General features: G+C 38.4%; 1 pseudogene, besides 2 other annotated features; it reads right to left on the bottom strand.

Annotated features, from left to right (window-relative positions):
* Positions 1-22,686, bottom strand: part of PRIM2BP (primase 2B, pseudogene) — a 264,192-nt pseudogene that overhangs the window by 167,263 nt on the left and 74,243 nt on the right.
* Positions 10,582-11,083: an enhancer, noted in NCBI's record as "NANOG hESC enhancer chr6:57339131-57339632 (GRCh37/hg19 assembly coordinates)". NCBI's record gives its function as "activates a minimal SCP1, AML or CMV promoter by ChIP-STARR-seq in naive H9 embryonic stem cells {active_cell/tissue: H9 hESC(naive)}" and the evidence as "EXISTENCE:reporter gene assay evidence [ECO:0000049][PMID:30033119]".
* Positions 12,066-12,567: an enhancer, noted in NCBI's record as "NANOG hESC enhancer chr6:57337645-57338146 (GRCh37/hg19 assembly coordinates)". NCBI's record gives its function as "activates a minimal SCP1, AML or CMV promoter by ChIP-STARR-seq in naive H9 embryonic stem cells {active_cell/tissue: H9 hESC(naive)}" and the evidence as "EXISTENCE:reporter gene assay evidence [ECO:0000049][PMID:30033119]".

The raw sequence follows: 22,686 nt of genomic DNA, 5'->3' as shown, positions 1-22,686 counted from the left end.
AACTAAATTCTAACTACCCAAAGAGGGGAAAACAGCAGTATCAAAAGGATTCCAGGTTGCAGCAGCTCACAGGATCTAAGGAAGAGTTAAGGTAAACAGGGCAAGGGCAGGGCCTCATAGAATAAAGCTAGGTACTCTGCCTAGCTCAATTTGGGTTAAGTTCAATTTGGGTCAAGCTGCCCTAGACTAACCACGGTGGCCAGAAGGATGTGAAAGTATGATTTCCCAGTCTGTCACATGTTCATGGAATCTCAATCTCTACCATGGATATTCATCCCTCTACTTATCATCCCACCTAACTAACCCATATTCAAATATCTCCTAAATAATGGCTTCATCGTAACTTGTCCTTACAACTTAATTAGGCAAGCCTGCATCCATTCAACAGTACTTATTTGAGTACTTTGACTAGATTACTCCCTGACAGTCACTATTCTAGATGCTAAGGACAGAGACATGAACAAGGCAAAGTCCCTGTCTTCTAATGGTGGAAACAAATACAAAATTGACTGTCAGATATAATTAACTGCTATAATGAAAACAATCTGGTAAGGGAGTGGGGAGTAATAAGGGAAGGTTGGGACTAAAAGGCTATTTTAGACAGGAAAAATTTATCTGAGAAGGAGACATTTGAGGAAACAGACCTGAATAAAGGTCAAAGAACTAGGGGGAAAATACTGAAGGATGAAGAAAAAGCAAATGTAAAGGGCCTAAAGTACCTGTATTTGGAGAGTCACAGAAAAACCAGAAAGGAATGGTCCATAGTAAAGGAAAAGCCAAGTTTAAGGCCCTGAAATAACAACAAAATGGTATGGCTAAAAAAGAACAAAGAAATCCTAGTTTTAAAAAATGAAATTAGGCAGACACACAGGGACCAGAGCATGCTTTTGGATCACAGTTAGGAGTTGGGATTTTTTTAAATTCTGAGTGTGACAAGAAACCACGTGAGTTTCTTCTCAGTCCAAGCAAACTGAGTTCAGTTGAAACTTAGGTCTATGCCTTCTTATTCTATACTCTGGAAGAAAAAAGAAAGCGACGACAACAGCTAACAACAGCATAATCCCTACAACAATCCCTATATCTGTTACTTACTCTTTCAACATCTGTGTGAATACTGTCCTGCATCAGGCTTTAGAATCTGTTATAAAAAGGCTTTATGCAGTCATCCAAGTGAAAAGCATGGTTTTAATGTTCCATGTGCTAAAGCTTTTAGGTCTATAAAGCTCAAGCCAGGTCGAAATACTATTTGTGAATAAGCAGAATAAAGTAAATAAATTTTAGCTATAAATAGTAACCAAAATCCCATAGAAATAAGTACATGAAATAGCATGTGGTATTATTAAATCAATGAATAAAAGGAAGTAAGGCCTAGTACTATTTTAACGGCATGAGAACTATTTAATATCGTAATCATTTTAGGACCAAACTCAGGCCACTTTATTTACCCTTTTTACTCCTTCTACGTCACAATTAAATTGTCTTCTCATGGTTTTGTTTAGTTTTGACCAATACTGGCTTACATTTCATTGCAAGTTATGTAACCTTACATTTCAAAGAAAATAAATATTTCACTTTACAACAAAGGTACTTTTGTTATTTGAAATACCAGGTCTTAGTGATTGATGATCAACACTAACAACCACTCCCTCTCCTAATCAAAAACACTACATGCAATACAAGAAATGGCCTCTTCATTCACTATTCCCATTCTCTTCCTGCTGCATGTGTCTTTTCCTTCTTTTGCTCCCCAGGCCTGCAGAATTTCATAATCTACACTGAACTAACACTCATTATTAGCAATTGCCTTGCCCAGTGACCGTTTCCTCTACTCCTCATTACTGAAAAATACTAGCTTCTGGGTTATCCAAGACTCATAAAGTTTGGTTTTGGTGGGGTTTTTTATAAACTATGTCTCTTATATGAATAGTATGTTTCCATGTTCACCATAATACTTTTAAAGATAAGTTCCTTCTGGCAAGATACATGGGTAGATATGTGTGTGTCCCTTTTGTAACAACCACTGGTAGGACTATAAGACATATTGTTTATGCCGTTGGCATTCCTTTCTTGCTGCTGCTGCTGTTTGAACATTTTAATGAAAGATTGTATTGTGCTCATATCCTGAGGCTTTAATCAAAGCCATAGTTTTGGAAATAAATAATCTAGAATCACCCAAAATGTCTTATAAAAAAAATCATCCAGGCGCAGTGGCTCACGCCTGTAATCCCAGCACTTTGGGAGGCCGAGGCTGGTAGATCACCTGAAGTCAGGAGTTCGAGACCAGCCTAGCCAACATGATGAATCCCCATCTCTACTAAAAATACAAAAATTAGCCGGGTGTGGTGTCGCACCTGTAATCCCAGCTACTCTGGAGGCTGAGGCAAGAGAATAGATTGAACCCGGGAGGCGGAGGCTGCTGTGAGCAGAGATGGCACCACTGCACTCCAGCCTGGGCGACAAAGCAAGATTCCATCTTAACAACAACAAAAAAATCTACTTTCCTAAGAGGATCAAGGAGACCATCTGATGCTGGTCCTCAGCCTCTCGCCTCAAAAAAATCTTTGTGTTTGGTAGACTTTTTCCTTCCCTCTTGAGTCTATAAAATATATATTTAATCTCCTTGACAAAGCTGATACTTTCTCCTGTCTCTTGATGCTATCCCTAATGTGCCCCTCACATCTTGCTTCTCTTATCAGGCATCTTTTCTCTGTAGCTTTGAGATAATTTGCTCTCACATGCATCTTCAATCTTTCACGGTACTACTGGTTCCTCTTTTCTCTTTATATAAACGTTTCTCCTGTGTTTAAAAAAAACAAAAAAATCCCTAAATGTATTGTTCACATATACACACCTTAATACCTTAAGATTTGGCCTTTGCATATACCAATGAACTGAAACTGCCCTCAGCACCTTTCTTCTGTGCTTATATTCCTCAGTCTTCTATAGAATGTCTCTGTGCTGACCACCAATGTCTATTAAATTGGTCCCCCCCCCACCAGGTTTTCTTCTGAATCTCTGATTTATATATTTCTTTTGCTTACTAGTGCTCTTCCCCAAGAAAAATATAAATTATCATCCCTCTATATTTGATTTTCAAATAATTCTAGCCATAACCTTTCTAAGCTACAGACTCAGATTTATAACTTCTTTCTGAAAAACTCAATTTAAATAACCTATCTGCACTCAAAATGACCATACTGCAAACCAAACTCATCATTTTCCCCTAAATTACAACAAAAAAAAATCCAAATTATTTTGGTCAGCAATATCTTGACCCTTTGGTCACCAGGCATCAATACCGAAATTTTCATCTTACTTTTTCTTTCCATAATCCTTCCCATCCCAGCCATGCAGACTTACCCATCATTCTTTCTATTCTAACACTGGCCACCCACGAAGCCTTCTGAAGTTCCCAACTAGACTAGTTCAACAGCTTCTAACATAACCTCCTTATCGCTTATTTCTCTCCTCATGTAAGCCAGGAAAAAATCATCCCGAATCATGTCTGTTTCTAACACAAAAAGTCTGTAATAGAAAAAGAAAGTTCAACAACATTAGCCATTAGGAAAAGGCAAATCAAGACCATAATGAGATACTACTAGATACCTATCAGAAGAGCAAAAATAAAACAGTGATGACACCAAATGCCAGTAAGAATACAAAACCAGAGTCACTCTTACATTGCTGGTGGGAATGTGAAATAGTATAGTCACTCTGGATCATCTGGCAGTTTCTTTAAAAATGAAATATGCAATTAACATATGACCCAACATTTATACTCTTGGGTGTTTGTCACAAGGAAATGAAGAAAAAAAAAAAACCCAAAAACCTATGTTCGCACAAAAACCTGTACACAAATGTTGATAGCAGCTTTATTTATAATAGCCAAAAACGAGAAATAATTCAGTGCCCTTCAACAGATAAATGGTTAAACAAACTAATACTATGCAGTGATTTAAAAAGAAGCAAACTATTGATATATGCAACAACTTGGATGGATCTCCAGGGCATTATCCTGAACAACAACAACAAAACAGCCAATCTTAAAATGTACATACTGTATGAGTCTATATATACATAACATTTCTGGAGTGACAAAATTTATGGAAAACACATCAGTGGTTGCCAGGGATTAAGGATGGGGTGCTATGACTATAACAGGGTAGAATGAGGAAAATCTTTGTAATGATTAAATAGTTCTGTATCTTTCTTGCAGGGATGGCTACACAAATTTTCACATGATAAGACAGCATAGAACTATACAAACACATATTGTACCAGTGTAAACTTCTTGGTTTTGATATTATAATATAGTTAATGTAAGATGTAATCACTCAGGCAAACTGAGTGAAGGATATATGAGAAGGACTTCTCTGTACTACATTTGCAACTTTCTATGAACTTATGATTATTTCAAAATTTTTTAAAAAGCTAAAAGTTATATAATTCCACTTATATAATATTCTTGAAATAAGAAAATAAAAGAAATGGGCTGGGTGTGGTGGCTCACGCCTGTCATCTCAGCACTTCAGGAGGCTGAGCCAGGCAGATCACAAGGTCAGGAAATGGAGACCGTCCTGGCAACACGGTGAAACCCTGTCTATACTAAAAATACAAAAACTAGCTGGGCGTGGTGACATGCGTCTGTAGTACCAGCTACTCGGGAGGCTGAGAAAGGAGAATTGCTTGAACTTGGGAGGCGGAGGTTGCAGTGAGTGGAGATCACACCATTGCACTCCAGCCTGGTGACAGAGTGAGCCTCCGTCTCAAAAAGGAAAAAGAAAAGAAAATCAGAGAAATGGAGAACAAATTAGTGTCTGACAAGCGTAGGAGGTGGGGAGTTGGAGAAAGTGAGTATAGATAAAGGGAAGTCTTGTAGTGATGGTTACATGAATCCATAAATATGATAAAATTCCTTACTCACATACACAAGTACACACAAGTGCATGTGAAACTGATGAAGACTAAATAGCTCTGTGTACTAACATTAATTTCCTAGTTTTTTTAATTACACCTAAAGTTACGCAAGATGTTTTCATTGGGGAGAACTGGGTGAGGGATACACTGGACTCCTCTATACATTTCTTTTTCAACTTCCTGTGTATGTAAAACTCTTTCAAGATAAAAAGCTTACAAATAATAAAAAGGAAGAAGAAAAACTAAATTTAAAAAGTCACAGTTTTCCACTGCTTACTAAATACAAATGTACTCAGACTTCAAGCTCCTCACACTGTTCCATACTCTTCACCTCTCCTTACTTCCAAGTGAATCTTTGCCATACTCTAAACACATGTCATGCATTTATGACTCCAACTCTCAGCCCACAAGATTCTCTCTACCTACAGCATCTGCCTAACTACCTCTTTATACTCCATCCCCATCTCTTGATAAATCTTCCTCATTTCTCAGGTGCATTTCAAATTGCCTTCTTTGCTTTCTTCATCCAGACATTCTCTCTCCTTTCCTCTGAACACTACTTACTCTGTAATGTAAATTATCGTATTCTGCCTGATACTATAGTTACTTGCTTTAGCTTCCCTTCAGACTTCATCTTGCCTACCACGCGGCTGGTGACCTTGCAATATATATTAGCTGGATTTGCAAAAGGCAAAGTAGTTTACAGATAAACAAACAACAACCACCAAAAAACCACAACACATACACACTCTTAAAAATGTTGCCAGGTCTTCATCCACTATATCCTCAGCCATCTGAGCTCCATAATGAGGACAGTGGCACATTTGAATGTTCTTTAAAGGCCACATGTGTATGGGACAATATATACAGCTGTGAAAGAGAGAGCAAACCTTTTCCCTCTGTAATACAGTAATAAGAACATTAAATTGCACTTAAAAACGTAGCTTTTAAAAATCTGCAAAGAACAGCTGGAAACTATCGCCTACTCAGACAGAAAAAATAATTAGTTCTCTCTCTACTCAGTTAAGACCTGAAAAACAAGATGAATCATAAAAGGGCTATGAATAAAAGCAGTGTACCTGTAACTTTTCCTATTCCCGTTATTCTTGAAAGAATTGTTTTAAATTTTGATGCTTTTTTTTAGTAGTCTACAACACATTAACCAAGTAATTATGGCCAATCAACCAATTTCAAATGGATTACTATATAAGCAAGTCAGTTAATGCTCAGAATTATCAACCAACACACAAATCAGTTCTGATTATCTATTCTTAATTTATGGGGTTTCTTTCCGTTTTTAGTGACTCAAAATTATATGGAATGACTGTAATAAATCCTTTTTTCCTTTTTTAGGTGGAGTTTTGTTCTTGTTGCCTAGGCTGGAGTGCATTGGCACGATCTCGCCTTACAGCAACCTCCATCTCCCAGGTTCAAGCAATTCTCCTGCCTCAGCCTCCCAAGAAGCTGGGATTACAGGCATGCGCCACTACACCCAGCTAATTTTGTATTTTTAATAGAGACGGGGTTTCTCCATGTTCTTCTGGCTGATCTCAAACTCCCGACCTCAGGTGATCAGCCCACCTTGGCCTCCTAAAGTGCTGGGATTACAGGCATGAGCCACCGCGCCCGGCCGAATGTAATAAATCTTTAACCAGAGTATCGTTTAATCGATTATCTTTCATCTTTAAGACAAGAACAGAACCCTGGAAAAAATGATAACTACTTTACAGATGAGGAAACTTAGGCTCAGAGATGTTAAAGAGCTTGTCTAAGGGAACACAGTACGCTGGCAGGTCAAGACTCAAACCCATGTCTGTCTAATTCAAAGTCAATATAAATTCTAGTGCACGGGCCAACCTAAAATCACTTGCAAATTTCCAACTAAGAAGAAGGTACTTTCATACAAAGTCAAGATTAAATAATTTTAGTAGAGTATGTTAATTTCCAAAAAACTCATATGTGTTTTTGTATGTATCAAAAAATGTACATGCAGCCAGGCACTCTGACTCTTGCCTGCAGTCCCAGCTACCCAGGAGGCAGAGGCAGGAGGAAGACTTGAGCACAGGAGTTCGAGGCTGCAATGAACTATGATCATGCTACCATGCCCCAGCACCCCAGTCTGGATGAGAGAACAAGAATCTCTCTCAAAAAAAAAAAAAAAAAAAAAAAAAAAAAAAACAAAAAACACAACAACAACTAATAAAATGAAATGTATAGTCTAAGTGTCAACGTACCTCTTTCTTACTTGTTCAACTTGTTACAAAAAATATACAGTATTTCATGTTTGAGAAAAGGAATATAGAGTAATTTTTTTAAAAGGCAGTACAGCAGGTCAAGAACACAGATAAGGGGATTAGTCAAGTTTAAGTGATCATTAACAAACTGCTTTACCTTTCTGTGCCTTAGTTTCTCCATTTGTAAAGTGAGAAATCTCTACACCTCGTAGTATTACGGGTATTAAACATACACGTTATCAGACTTACAGAAAACAATCAACATTAGCTATTACTATTGTTATTTCATTTATTTTTGTTTATATTTTAGTGCAGTGCATGATTGTGCAATATCACTGACATAGATGATCCGTTATGAACAGGGAATACTATGCTATAAAAGATGCAAACAGCTTACAACACAAATAGGGGTTATAATACTTTTTAAAAATATTGCTTATAATCACAAAGACAAACTTTGATTTATCCTTCACAGAGGTTATCATCTGGTTTTAAACAAATATGTCTTTCCTTACCAGGGTCTCCAATACTCTCACTACTACAACCTCCTGTCTACCAGTCTACCCTTAAATAAAGAATCTATAGTCTTCAACTAAAATATCAATTTAACTAAAATATCTATTACGAGTAGTGTTGTTAACAGTAGTAGTATTTAGCTAAGACATATGTGAATATGAAAAAATTATGTGTCGACAAGACATAAAAATAAATGCTCACTTAAATATTTTAAGCAACAAATGTTATAGAAATGGAAAGCATTCTGGTTTCTTGTGAAAAGTGGTAGAAAGGCTATCTTCTATGGATTTTAATTTTGCTGAATAATATTGTACGATATTTGACGTTATTAATTCTAAAAATACCTTTATACTACTTTTAAATGAATACATACGCCCCAAACTATAACTATTAAGTAGTATTTGTAAGCAATATATAACGTATCATTTTCTAAAACTAGGAATTAAATTTCATAAAACTTGGCCAGGCACAGTAGTAGCTCATGCCTATAATCCCAGAACTTTAGGAGGCTGAGGTGGGAGGACTGCTTGAGCCCAGGAGTTCAAGACCAGCCTGGGCAACATAGGAGACTCTGTTTCTATAAAACAAAAATTAAAAATCAGCTGGGCATGGTGGCAAGCACCTGGGGTCCCAGCTATTCAGGAGGCTGCAGTGGGAGGATCAATGAAGCCCAGGAGGTTAAAGCTGGAGTGAGCTGTGGTCACACTACTGCAATCCAGCCTTGGTGACAGAGTGAGGCCCAATAAATAAATCTCTTAAAATCCAACTCATTCATAAAATTCATGAGTAAAATCTGTTTTTGGTTTCTTACAGTTTATTATAAAGTTTTAAATCACATAATGAGGCTGGGCATGGTGGCTCATGCCTGTAATCCCAGCTACTTGGGAGGCTGAGGCAGGAGAACCACTTGAACCCGGAAGGCGGAGGTTGCAGTGAGCCGAGATCGCACCATTGCACTCCAGCCTGGGAAACAAGAGTGAACTCCATCTCAAAAATAAATAAATAAATATAAAAATAATCACATCATGAAATTACTTATACTACACAATATTATAACCAATGAGTCAGGGTGGCCTACAGAATTTTTAGCAAAGAGTACTATAAGTATACATCTGAAAATTCATCTTTCACAGCTGATTACGCTACAATGCAAATACAATGATGGTTACGTTGTTAATACTTTTTACATGGTATAATATTATATAACATTAATAAATAGGGAAGAATGACATGGTACCTAAAATATCTAACTGAAGCAGATGAATGGTATTTCAAAATATCCTAAAGTGAATTTCTCTTGTGGAACTGTAGTTCACTCAAGTAGCTGCAACTTGGTATTTATGTAAAGCTTATCAGGGTCTGCAGAAGCTACAAAGTGTCCCATCCATTAAATCTGCCATTAACTTAAATTCCAGCTGAATTAAACAGGATGATATTACTGCGCAATTTTGGTAGCTGAATGTATTTTACCAATTCTAAATTCTGGACAACTGGGTACTGACACTAAAATTTTTAAGTCCATGATGACCCATGACCTTCAAGAGTCCAATAAAATTTTACTATTTATTAGTTAAAACTACAATAATTCCAATAATGACTCATGTTTAATGTTTAAGTTCATGAGGGGATAGGGGCATGGGAATAAATCTGTGGAATATAGAGTGTATCTAGGACACCCAAAGTGACATCAGAGAGGTAAGGTAATGATTTTTTTAAAAAAACACAAACAAAACCACAACAACAACAACACTGACCTAGGAGTCAGGAAAACTGGTAGCCTCAAATCACAAGCAGAAACAATTCTCTCCTTCCTCTGAACCTGACTTTGCCCGTGACACACTTAGGGCACAGACACAGATTGTTTCATATTTCAACATCCCTAGAGGATCCTAAGTTCTTTAAGGAAACATGCCATGTCTTTTATGTTTGTATATATCATAAAACCTAACATAGTGTTTTGCACATGTTAGGCACTCAATAAAAATGTGATAAATGTGCAAAAGAATGAATGGTTCCATTTTAGCCATAGTCTAGCTATGCAACTTTGGAAAATCCTTGACATGCTCTGGGCCTATTATGTCCTGTATTAGTGAGGGGCAGGACGTTGGCTGTGGCAGTCAAAACAATGCTGGGAGTTTGACAAGTGAAATGCACAAGCTAGAAAACAGTCGTTATTCTGGTATATGCACACGATGAAATATCATTCAGCAGTAAAAAAGAATGGAGTACTGACATATGCTACAAAATGGATGAACCTTAAAAGTATGCTACCTGAAAGAAACCAGTCACAACAGACCACATATGATTCCATTTATATGAAATGTCCAAAATACGCAAATCTATGGAGTGGGAAAGTAGATTAGTGTTTGTCTAGGTCTGGGAGGATGGGTAGATTGGGGATGAAAGCTAATAGTTACAGGGTTTCTTTTGGGGGTGATGAAAATATTTTGAAATTGAAGTGATGGTTGCACAACTCTGTGAATACATAAAAACCATTGAATTATATACTTTAAATGAGTAATTGTGTGATATGTGAGTTATACTTCGAAGCTGATTACAAAAAAGTTGTAGGAGGAGGAAGGGAGGAGGCTAAAAGAAAATACAGTCACCAATCAAACTGTATTTATATCTGTGAGGGGAAACATATTAATTGTTCTCCATAGGCCCTTCTGGCTCGCCCTTCATGACGGAGCCTCAAAGCATGCCTGCATTCCTCAGTGCCTAGTCCACTGCATGCAAATAAAATCGGATGCCCAGAGCAGCCGATTGCCTAATGCTCAATATTGGGAGGAAAGAAACAAAGAATCTAAAGCAAATCAAGTCAATATGCTCCCCTGGAAAAAAAGAGTATGCTACCAGGAGTTCTATGCCAGTGGCAGCATTGAAGTGCACAGAGGTAGGAGAAAAGGCTGAACAGCATGGGTTAAAAGCTTGGCTCTGGTGTCTGGCAAACCTGGGCTCTCTCACACTCTAGCCTCCACTTTCTTCTCACCTATTAAATAGGGATCATAAACTGAGTACACCTCTTTAATCACCTCTTAAAGGCCCCCACCTCTTAATAGTCTCACACTGGCAACACCTGGATTTGGGAGAGGCCACATTCAAACAGCAGCAGCAGCAGCAGCAGTAGTAGTATTCTCCCTGCTTAACTTCTTGCAACATCATTTAGGAATACCTGCCACAAGTAGAGTATTATTTCCAAATATATTCAAATTTAAAATGGCACGTATACACCTACTATGTACACATAAAAATGAAAAAAATTTTAAATGTTTTTAAAGATAGCAGAGTAAGCTGGGCGCGGTGGCTCACGCCTGTAATCCCAGCACTTTGGGAGGCTGAGGCAGGCAGATCACGAGGTCAGGAGATTAGAGACCATCCTGGCTAACAAGGTGAAACCCTGTCTCTACTAAAAAAAAACAAAAAATTAGCCGGGCATGGTGGCAGGTGCCTGTAGTCTCAGCTACTCAGAGGCTGAGGCAGGAGAATGGCATGAACCCCGGGAGGCGGAGCTTGCAGTGAGCCAAGATGGCGCCACTGCACTCCAGCCTGGGTGACAGAGCGAGACTCCGACTCAAAAAAAAAAAAAAAAAGATAGCAGAATTGCAGAAAAAGTAGATAGCAAACACAGACATTTTTCAAATGGACAAACTGATGCTTTGGAAGATTAGTCTATACTTAATCATGCTTCCTTTCCTTAAAAAATGGATGCATAATATCTACAAATTCCTCAAGCATGTGAAATCTAAACAAAATGAAGTTTAATGAGTAATTTGCACAAGAAAAGATGTAATGAAAAACACTATCATCCTAATTTCAAAACTTTTCTAAGTCGAAATGTGATTTTAAATATTCACAGAGAAAAAAAAAAACAGTAGAGCCCCACTGAAAAGCAGGTCTCTGGCAAAGTTATTCAAGTTTAGCAAAGAGACCTTAGACTTAGACTAGATATTCTTCAGATAGGGCGCAGGGGTGGTGGAAGGTAAAGTTACAAAACTTAAGAGGGTTGCCAGGGAAATATTTGTCCCCCAAATATAGAATGAAACTATCACAGAAGCTCAGGAAAAAATAATGCAACCCGGTTTTGTTCGTTTGTTTTGCTTGGTCACATTATTTACTTCTGGAAGGAATAAGAAGCTGAAAACAAAGGGAAGGGGAAATCTAACTTTTCAAGTAAAAAGCCACGATGAAGGACTGAATAGACTTGTGTTTTCAGTCTTGACTGCATATTAGATTCAACAAGGGGCCCTTTACAAACATCCATGCCTAGTATTTAATTCTTCTGGGGTGAAAACAGAGCACTTTTTAAAAAAAGTTTTCCAGGTGAATCTAAAGAACAGCTGGGGTTAAGAACCACTGAGCTAGCTGGAAAGTGTGTACATCAGATACAGTACAAAGTCTGGCATGGAGCTATAAGGATGATAAACATCTGGTGCATAAATCCTTTTTGATTAATGCTTTGAATCATGTTGTGTGCCACCTCCCCATCACAAGACCAGAATCTCTTCCAGTTATCTCATCACCCTACAATCTTAAACAGCTTCAGCAAAGCCCATTTAAAGCCAACTGAGAAGTTCTTGCTGCATCAAGTACCCTTGATGAGACTCTAAAAGACAGGATTCACTAGTTAGCATAAGACCTAATGTAAGCAATTCTTCTTCAAAGGGAGAATTTAGGTTTACTGAAGCAGAAAACTAAAAGCCTTTAATACAAAGCTGTAATTAATGGGTATTATAAATCATAGCAGTGCATCTCTGATTTCAGGTTTGTGGGATGCACCACATGCAACACACACTAATTCAACAAAAAGTGGCCTCCTGCATATAATTGCCTTTCCTGGAGAAAACCAATTTGATCCCAAAGAGGTTGGAAAGGAATGCAGATAATTATACATACTTACAATACAATTGCTTCCTGCTCTCCAAAGCAAACTTTTAAAAGAATGTTTTTATTTTAAGCAAAATAATTTTTCTTTAGCTGTCCCTTTTTATATTCAATCTAATAGACCAGTAAGGCCAACTTTCACAATGGTCTATTATATATTTAATTAGTTATTCTGAGATATGAACATTCCAAGATTTCATGCTGATTAAATTCCTCTATTCTGTGAATGGAATAATATATTAGGTAAAATTGCCCCACACAAAAATACAAATCAAGAAAAATTTAAAGATACAAGTATCAAGTGTAGCCAGCTAGGAATCCGTCAAGTGATAACTGAAGTGCTCCACACCAGACCTTCACTTACACAGGAAGGACCAATCCTAGGCAGAACTTCACTTTACACAGAAAGGCCCTCTTTAGGAGACTCAGTTTGCCCGTTTTGACAAACTGCATAGTTTCTTTTTTCTTTTTCTTTCTTTTTTTTTTTTTTGACACATGCAATCTCAGTTCACTGCAACTTCCGCCTACCGGGTTCAAGCGATTCTCCTGCCTCAGCCTCCCGAGTAGCTGGGATTACAGGAGCCCACCACCACGCCCAGCTAATTTTTGTATTTTTAGTAGAGATGGGGTTTCACTGTGTTGGCCAGGCTGATCTTGAACTTCAGACCTCAGGTGATCCGCCCACCTTGGCCTCCCAAAGTGCTGGGATTACAAACGTGAGCCACCGCGCCCAGCCAAAGTGCATAGTTTCAGGTATATCCTTGAGGTCTCTCCCTCTACCCTACATCAAAAATCATCTAAATAGCAGCTGACTTCTGAATAACTCCAAGCTAATGAAGGCCCTATTTCTAGTTTTAAAATATTCCCTGGTCAGCAACAACAGTTCTCCAAAAAAAAAAAAAAAAAAAACGCATATCTCAAAACAAGGGCTCCACAATAAATGTCACCAAAAGCTGCTTTATAACACCTTGTGTCTTTTAAAAGTTTAGCTTAAGTTTTCTTTTTTCTCCTATCTTGAATGAAATATGTAAAATTCAACTTTTCATGTATTTAATAAACTGTTATTGCTACACAAATAAATTCTCTTTCCAAAGCATATACTTAATTTTTTTCAGAGGAAAACAAGGTGATTTGATGATTCACTTAATTCCGTTTAACTTCATGACTCTTTACAAAAGTAAAAAGATGCAAATCATTCATTGTTCATCCATTCCCCTCCAGGAACTGTGAAGCATTAAATGCCACTTGATCTGCCCTATACTGCTGTGATTTCACCTTCAATATAAACAGACCATGTAGCTAACAGCAGTGACTACCACCAATGTTAGCAGAACACTGGATATGGAGTCAATCCATTTCTTTCTTCCTTCCTCACCATCTTTGTAACCTTCCTTTCCTCACCCTCCTCTACTCTCTACCTCCTACTCTCCTTTAACTGCTCTTTTATTACTAATTTTTCTGCCTTTGAATCCATTCTCCCTCCATCCTTTTATCACCATTTATTCTTCTCTACATTCTCTCTCCTCAATCTCCTCTTCCTTTTCACCACAACACCTTCTTCACCAACCACCCTTTTTTATTGTTCTTGCCTTATTAACTCCCTCCCCTTGGCTCTCCTGCTCTTTCTGCCTTAGCCATCTCTCTCCTCTATTTGTTTAGTGCCTTGTGCTAGTATCTCTTCCACATGCCCATACCACAGCTCACAATCTTTGTACCTTTTCCAAACCAGATGGTCCCTGGAGAAAGGCAAGATCTAAAATTCCAAGTGACTCAGAAAATTAGACTTTGGATGGAAAAAAAAAATAAGTATCCCTAATATCTAACATTATAAATCTGTGTCACAAGGAGCCAACTCAGCTATTGCTATAATTATAATTTCCCACCAATGCTCTTTCAAAACTGGAGCAGAGATGAATGAGATTTTAATACTGTAATTGTGCCTTAGAATCTACTATTCAGACTCATTCTAGCTTCCTCTTATTTAACCTCTGAAGTGTATATGTAAAGAAGGTAGTTGGCAGGGAGGGACAACTAAAGTGCCAAACGCTGAGAAGAAAGCATGGTTTTCATGCAGATCTAGAATTCAGGCACTATTTGAACCATAAAAATAAAAACACAAGATGTAGGCTGTAACTAAAACTAGCTATAACTAGTAAGCTTTTAAAGGACAATGTGTTTTAATCCTACCAAATTAGAATATCTACCAACAAGAGGCTACATACAATTATTTAATACTTTCGATATAAAAATCTCAACGTCATTTAAAGATTAAAACAATTTTGGGATTTGGGGTTTCTCAAAGTCATTCTGAAACATGAGAGTTCTCTCTACACATTATTCTACCTAAGCAGCAATGCTCTAGTCTTAAGCTTTGGGAGAAGCTAAGACTGCCTAAAGATTACTCTTTGCCAAAAAAAGAGAGGAAGAAGGAGAGAGGGTGAGAGGGGGAGAGACTGAGAAGGAGAGAGGGAGAGGGTGAGAAGGAGAGGGGGAGAGGCCCCTCTTACTTAAAGCAGAACACTGAAAACCCAAGCCAACTAATTTGTGGTGGAATTTAAATGAAGAGCCAGCTGCAGAACACAGCACCAAGGAGAAAAGAAGGTCGCAAGGAGGAGAGGCTGCAAGTACAACAGGGTTATCCAGAGTGAGGAAATAATTGTTTTCAAATATTTGTAAGATGTGATTGAAGAGATTAGGGGAAAATTTAAATTGTTCTGATAAAATGCCACAATGCTCAAATACTTACTTACTCAAATACTACTTACATTATTGTTTTAGGAAGCAGAATTCATCCAACACCATTTGTCCAAAGATAATCTATGTTTCTTAAGGTGAACTTAAGTTAAAATGGAAAGACTGCTTTAACAGGTCAGGGTAACTCAGCCAACTGCATTTTTAGCCTCCAAAGTACTAGAAATTGGAGATAAAGCTCTAAATGAGTAGTTTTTTAAGTGAGCAAAGTTTACAGAGATGAGACTGCAGAAAAGAAGTATGTTCAAATGTGGGCCGCAGAAGTTTATAATTCTGTGTGGTGGAGATCTTTTAAATATTTAGAATAGTATGTTTGGTTCTTAATAACATTACATCTGTATTAATAAATTAATATGAGATAAAACAGAAATTAAAATATAAATGCAAATAATACTGTTTTAAATATGTAGCTACATGTATGAGAAAACTGATGATCCCTTCTGTTAAAATATTGAAAGTATATACTACTTAACATAACTTCAAATTTACTGCATAAGACCTTGACTCTCATTGCTTATTCTGAATCAAGGGCGAAAACTTCTAGTATTTTCATATCTTGCATACAAAATAGCTTGTTTCTCCAAAAATCAATAAGTCAAATACTTGACTGATCTGTATGGTCTGATTAGAGAATTCACATCGTAAGGTCACAGTGTTCTACCTGCTTCTTCAAGTTTTCCACATTAACAATCAATATCAAGGGTTCAATTTTCTGAGATTTGAATGTCACTGTCTGTTCTCATTGTAATGGTTACAAAACCATAAATGTGATTCACTAGTGTTTTTATACTGAGGGTGCTAAGAATTTGCCTGCTGTGAAAATACCAACAGTTCACCTTGCATGGCATTTTCCCATTTGAAAGTATCTGCTTTCACAGACTGAAAGCTAATGTGCCAGGAGGCACTGTGCTTCTCAGCAACATAAAGAGAGTTCCAGAGGGAAACTCAGGCTCAAGATGGCCCTTCACTTGGGATGAGACGTGAGTTAAACAGGCTCTTCATAGAGAATATCAATTATCAGCAATATATGTATGCCAAGATAATCACAACGGTGATGATAAGGAAATCACTGCCTGACACCAGCCACTACATCCTAACATGAGAAGCTCTCTTCATAACCATTTCTCCCTCAGGGAGAATAGAATCTCTGTTTCAGGGCTTACAAACAAAAATTGCAACAAGCCTGGAGTCAAGGCCTAAGGTCTTCAATGAAATAAATCAACCCGAAATAAACTAGAGAGCAAATGACTTGGGCATTTAATAAAAATAACATTAGCCTTGGCCCTGAACATACATGAAGAAATGGTTCTATAAATCCCCTCCTAAAAGGAAACCCATGATTATACTATATCCCACACATAGTTATTCACTAAGTATGAGCTGTATATATTAGTCAGGGTTCTAAGTTGTCAGTGACATACACCAACTAATAAATTTAATTAGACAAAATATTTGCTAAAAATAGTAAGTACTTAGAACAGGGGCCCCAAACCCCTGGGCCATATTATGAGGCCAACATCATCCTGATACCAAAACCTGGCAGAGACACAACGAAAAAAGAAAATTTCAGGCTAATATCCCTGATGAACATCGATGCAAAAATTTTCAATAAAATACTGGCAAACTGAATACAGCAGCACATCAAAAACCTTATACAGCACAATAAACTTGGCTTCATCCCTGGGATGCAAGGCTGGTTCAACACACGAAAATCAATAAACGTAATCCATCACATAAACAGAACCAAAGGCAAAAACCACACAGTTATCTCAATAGATGCAGAAAAGGCTTTTGATAACATTCAACACTTCTTCATACTAAAAACTCTCAATAAACTAGGTATTGATGGAACGTATCACAAAATAATAAGAGCTATTTTGACAAACCCACAGCCAATATCATACGGAATGGGCAAAAACTGTAAGCATTCCTTTTGAAAATCGGCACAAGACAAGGATGCCTTCTCTCACCATTCCTATTCAACATAGTATTGGAAGTTTTGGCTAGGGAAATCAGGCAAGAGAAAGAAATAAAGGGTATTCAAATAGGAAGAGAGGTAGTCAAATTGTCTCTGTTTGCAGATGACATAATTGTATATTTAGAAAACCCCATCATCATCTCAGCCCAAAATCTCCTTAAGCTGATGAGCAACTTCAGCAAAGTCTCAGGATACAAAATCAATGTGCAAAAATCACAAACATTCCTATATACCAATAATAGACAAACAGCCAAATCATGAGTGAACTTCCATTCACAACTGCTACAAAGAGAAATAAATACCTAGGAATACAACTTCCAAGGGAATGTGAAGGACCTCTTGAAGGAGAACTACAAACCACTGCCCAAGGAACTCAAGGAGGACACAAACAAATGGAAAAACATTCCATGCTCATGAATACGAAGAATCAATATCATGAAAATGGCCATGCTGCCCAAAGTAATTTATATATTCAATGCTATCTTCATCAAGCTACTGTTTACGTTCTTCACAGAATTAGAAAAAAACTACTTTAAATTTCACATGGAACCAAAAAAGAGCCTGTACAGCCAAGACAATTCTAAGCAAAAGGAACAAAGCTGGAGGCATCATGCTACCTGATTTCAAACTATACTATAAGGCTACAGTAACCAAAACAGCATGGTATTGGTACCAAAACAGATATATAGACCAATGGAACAAAACAGAGGCCTCACAAATAATACCACACATCTATAAACACCGTGGCTTTGACAAACCTGACAAAAACAAGCAATGGGGAAAGGATTCCCTATTTAAAAAATAGTGTTGAAAAAACTAGCCAGCCATATGCAGAAAACTGAAACTGGACCCCTTCCTTACACCTTTCACAAAAATTAACTCAAGATGGATTAAAGACTTAAACATAAGACCTAAAACCATAAAACCCTAGAAGAAAACCTAGGCAATACCATTCAGGACATAGGCATGATGGGCAAAGACTTCATGACTGAAACAAAAGCAATGGCAACAAAAGCCAAAACTAACAAATGGGATCTTTTCTTCTTTTTTTTTTTTTTTTTGAGATGGAGTTTCACTCTTGTTGCCCAGGCTAGAGTGCAATGGCACAATCTTGGCTCACTGCAACCTCCACTTCCCAGGTTCAAGCGATTCTCCTAGTAGCTGGGATTATACGCATGTGCCACCATGCCTGGCTAATTTTGTATTTTAGGTAGAGACAGCGTTTCTCCATTTGGTCAGGCTGGTCAGCCACCGTGCCCAGCCAACAAATGGGATCTAATTAAACTAAAGAGCTTCTGCACAGCAAAAGAAACTATCATCAGAGTGAAGAGGCAACCTACAGAATGGGAGAAAATGTTTGCAATCTATCCCTCTGACAAACAGCTAATATCCAGAATCTACAAAGAACTTAAACAAATTTAGAAGAAAAAAACAATCCCATCAAAAAGTGGGCAAAGGATATGAACAGACACTTCTCAAAGGCATTTATGCAGCCAACATACATATGAAAAAAGCTCATCAGCACTGGTCATTAGAGAAATGCAAATCAAAACCACAATGGGATACCATCTCACACCAGTTAGAATGACAATCCTTAAAAAGTCAGGAAACAACAGATGCTGGAGAGGATGTGGAGAAATAGGAATGCTTTTACACTGTTTGTGGGAGTGTAAAGTAGTTCAACCATTGTCGAAGACAGTGTGGCAATTCCTTATGGATCTAGAACCAGAAATACCATTTGACCCAGCAATCCCATTACTGGGTATATACCCAAAGGATTATAAATAATTCTACTATAAAGACACATGCACATGTATGTTTATTGCAGCACTGTTCACAATAGCAAAGACTTGGAACCAACCCAAATGTCCATCAATGATAGACTTGATAAAGAAAATGTGGCACATATACACCATGGAATACTATGCAGCCATAGAAAAGGATGAGTTCATGTGCTTTGCAGGGAGATGGATGAAGCTGGAAACCATCATCCTCAACAAACTAACACAGGAACAGAAAACCAAACACCTCATGTTCTCACTCATAAGTGGTAACTGAACAATGAGAACACATGGACACAGGGAGGGGAACATCACACACCGGGGCCTGTCAGGGGGTGGGGAGCCGGGGGAGGGATAGCATTAGAAGAAATACCTAATGTAGATGACAGGTTGATGGGTGCAGCAAACCACCATGACATGTGTATACCTATGTAACAAACCTTCACGTTCTGCACATGTATCCCGGAACTTAAAGTATAATAATAAAAAAAAGAATCATTATCAAGAAAAAAAAATGATAGAAAGCACTAATGTACATTACAATAAATATGCCAGACTCTGTCCTAAGAGTTTTACTTTAAATAAGTCACCTAATCCTCAAAAGAAGCCTATGAGGTACATGCTATTATTTCCCCTTCTTACATTTGAGGGACCTGAGGCACACAGAGGTTAACTAACCACCTCAAGCAAGGTTACAAGACTGGTAAGTGGCAGAGCCAAGATAAAAGCTGGGATATGAACCCAGTCAGTCTAGCATGAGAGTCCATGCTTTATACTGCCTTTTGGAAATCCAGATCTGGGACAAAGTCCAAAATCATACCTTAAAACAGGTTCCGTGAAGAAACCACAACCCTAGAGTCTGTACCACTAACTCTGGGCCCTGGATGCTACCTCTAGATTGGCTGACAGTCCTGTCTGGAAACCCAGTATAGCTGCTGCTCCCGCCTAACTTCAGCAGAATGGATTCTCTCCCTGGTAACTTCTTTGTGTCACTAGCTTCTGATTCAGAAACTGGGGCAAATGCATCATACGCCCATACCCTAGCTACAAGAAAAGCTGAGAAAGCAAGTGTCTGACATTTTCAGCTTAATAGAAGGGAGGCTCTGTCTTCATGGAAGGGAGAAGGGATTTCCACACATAGGAATTTCCCAGGAAAATAGATGCTGGGTAGCATCTAATAAGTGACAAGATATCCACTACACTCTTACTGTAGTGGTAGACCTACATGAAGTTACACTGTGTTACAATGATCAGAGTAGCAAACATTACAGCAAGCTCCTGACTTTTTCCTACAATAATCCCAACTATAAAGACATAGTTGCCAAGGATGTGAATACTAGGGACCTAGAATTCCTGAGTTAATAAGCCGTTTATTAAATTTCTGAGTCTCAACTTCCTTATCTGAAAAAGAGGGATAGTAATAGTACCTACCTTAAAGTATACTGTTAAGATTAAATGTAATAACACATGAAGTACTCTGCACAGTAACTACGCAAAAAGTGGTGGTAATGGTGATTTTGGAAACAATGATGATGATGGAGAGGAGGAGAATAGTGCCTGGCACACAGGAAGTACATAATAAATATCTGCTGTTATTGTGGTGGTTGTTATCATTATTATCATAACCTATTCCAAGTCAAGAGGCTTTGGTAGCTGGCTTATTTATTCATTCAACCCATCTACACTGAGTACCTATTAGGTTCCAGTCACTGAGTTAGGCACCAGAAATACAAAAGGCAGGCCGGGCGTGGTGGCTCATGCCTGTAATCTCAACACAATTGGGGGTCGAGGTGGGCAGATCATGAGATCAGGAGTTCAAGACAGCCTAGCCAACATGGTGAAACCCTATCTCTACTGAAAACACAAAAATTAGCCACGTGTGGTGGCACGTGCCTGTAATTCCAGCTACTTGGGAGGCTGAGGAAGGAGAATCACTTGAACCTGGGAGACGGAGGTTGGAGTGACCTGAGATCACGCCATTGCCCTCCAGCCCGGGCGACAGAGCAAGACTCCATCTCGGGAGGAAAAGAAAAGGAAAAAAAGAAATACAAAAGACAGCAAAGCATGTGATCTGCATTCTCGGAGCTTACAGAATATCGGGGAAGGAACAGGCTAATCAAGTAACCACACAAACAAACGTGACATTATTACATGGCACTGAAAGTGTGCATAATAAGGACAAGTGACCAAGTCAGGCAGATCAGGGGAATGGCCCTTTTGAGGGAAGACCTGGAGAGTGAGTAGGAGTTAGCTAACTGAGAGAGGTGCCACAACAAACAGCATTAGACTGAGGGAGGTGCAAAGAGCATTCCTGGCAAAGAGAGTGGCAAGGATAAAGAAGATCTTATGTCAGGAGGAAGCACTCAGCATTCCAGGAACTAAAAGAAGGCCAGCACAACTGGAGAGGAAGAGGCAGGGACTCGATCATAAAAAGACTTCCAAACCACACAAGGAATGCTGATTCAAGACCAGTGAGTAGGCCACATTTCTTTAACCAGCCAGCTAACCCACTCTGGGATGGTACCACCACCATCTGAAGAAGGGAACCTCTGTGTGAGGAATATAGCTTGCGTGGGTTTGAGATACTGTTAATGCCTGGTACTCCCATGTGTTTCAGTGCCCTGATGTAAAGAAGGTCAGACAGGTTTGAAATCTCTGAAGATGCTTTAAAAGGCATTTGGTGGCATTTCTCCTTCCCTCCATCTCCTAAAAAAAGGTTTTTTGAATCGTAGAACCAAATCAGGATAAATAATTAAAGACAGAAACAATCAGAGATATTATCTAGCCAATCTCCTTTATTTTCTTGGTTTTGTTTTGTTTTAGAGATGAGGGCTCGCTCTGTCACCCAGGCTGGGCTGCAGTAGTATAATCCCAGCTCACTGCAGCCTTGATCTCCGAAGCTCAAGTGATCCTCCCAGCTCAGCCGCCTCAGTAGCTAGGACAACAGCTGCATGCCACCACACCTGGCTAATTTTTTATTTTTTGTAGAGACGGGGGTCTCACCATGTTGCCCAAACTGGTATCAAACTCCTCGCCTCAGGCGATCCTCCTGCCTTGGCCTCCCAAAGCACTAGGATTATAGGCATGAGCCACCATGCCCAGCCTCTCCTCATTTTCTAGTTGTGGATATCACATGCTGGTAGTCACCAACAAAACCAGAACTAGAACTCAGTTCTAGATTTCCGAGCCAGTGCTTTTCCCACCACCCCTCTGCCACTTAGAAGATCCCATTTATTTAATCTGCCCAAAAGCCAAAACTGTCTTAACACCCTGAAACAGCTAGCTCACTTCTCACTGTTGAACACAAGCCTGCTCTGATATAAACAATACTAATATGTGACATAATGAACCAGAAACTAAAGAGTAGCACATAGCAGGGGATGTCTGACTACATTTGTTTAACAGCTCTCAGCTTCTCTATGAAGCAGTTAAATCTTGATTAACTGGAAGCTTCCTTTTTTGTATTTGTTAAAGACTCTACTTTCAAGAGGAATCAGATAATAACTGAATAACTAACATCAGAGTTTTGTTAAAAATAATAGAAGGAATAAAAACTTCTATAGCAACCGGGTGACTCTCGCACATTAGCCATATCATAAAAAGAAGACACGGTCAAGACAGCAGC

The sequence above is a fragment of the Homo sapiens genome, chromosome 6, assembly GCF_000001405.40.
Source record: "Homo sapiens chromosome 6, GRCh38.p14 Primary Assembly".
NCBI classification, from domain to species: domain Eukaryota; kingdom Metazoa; phylum Chordata; class Mammalia; order Primates; family Hominidae; genus Homo; species Homo sapiens.
This window is presented reverse-complemented; position numbering and strand designations above follow the sequence as displayed.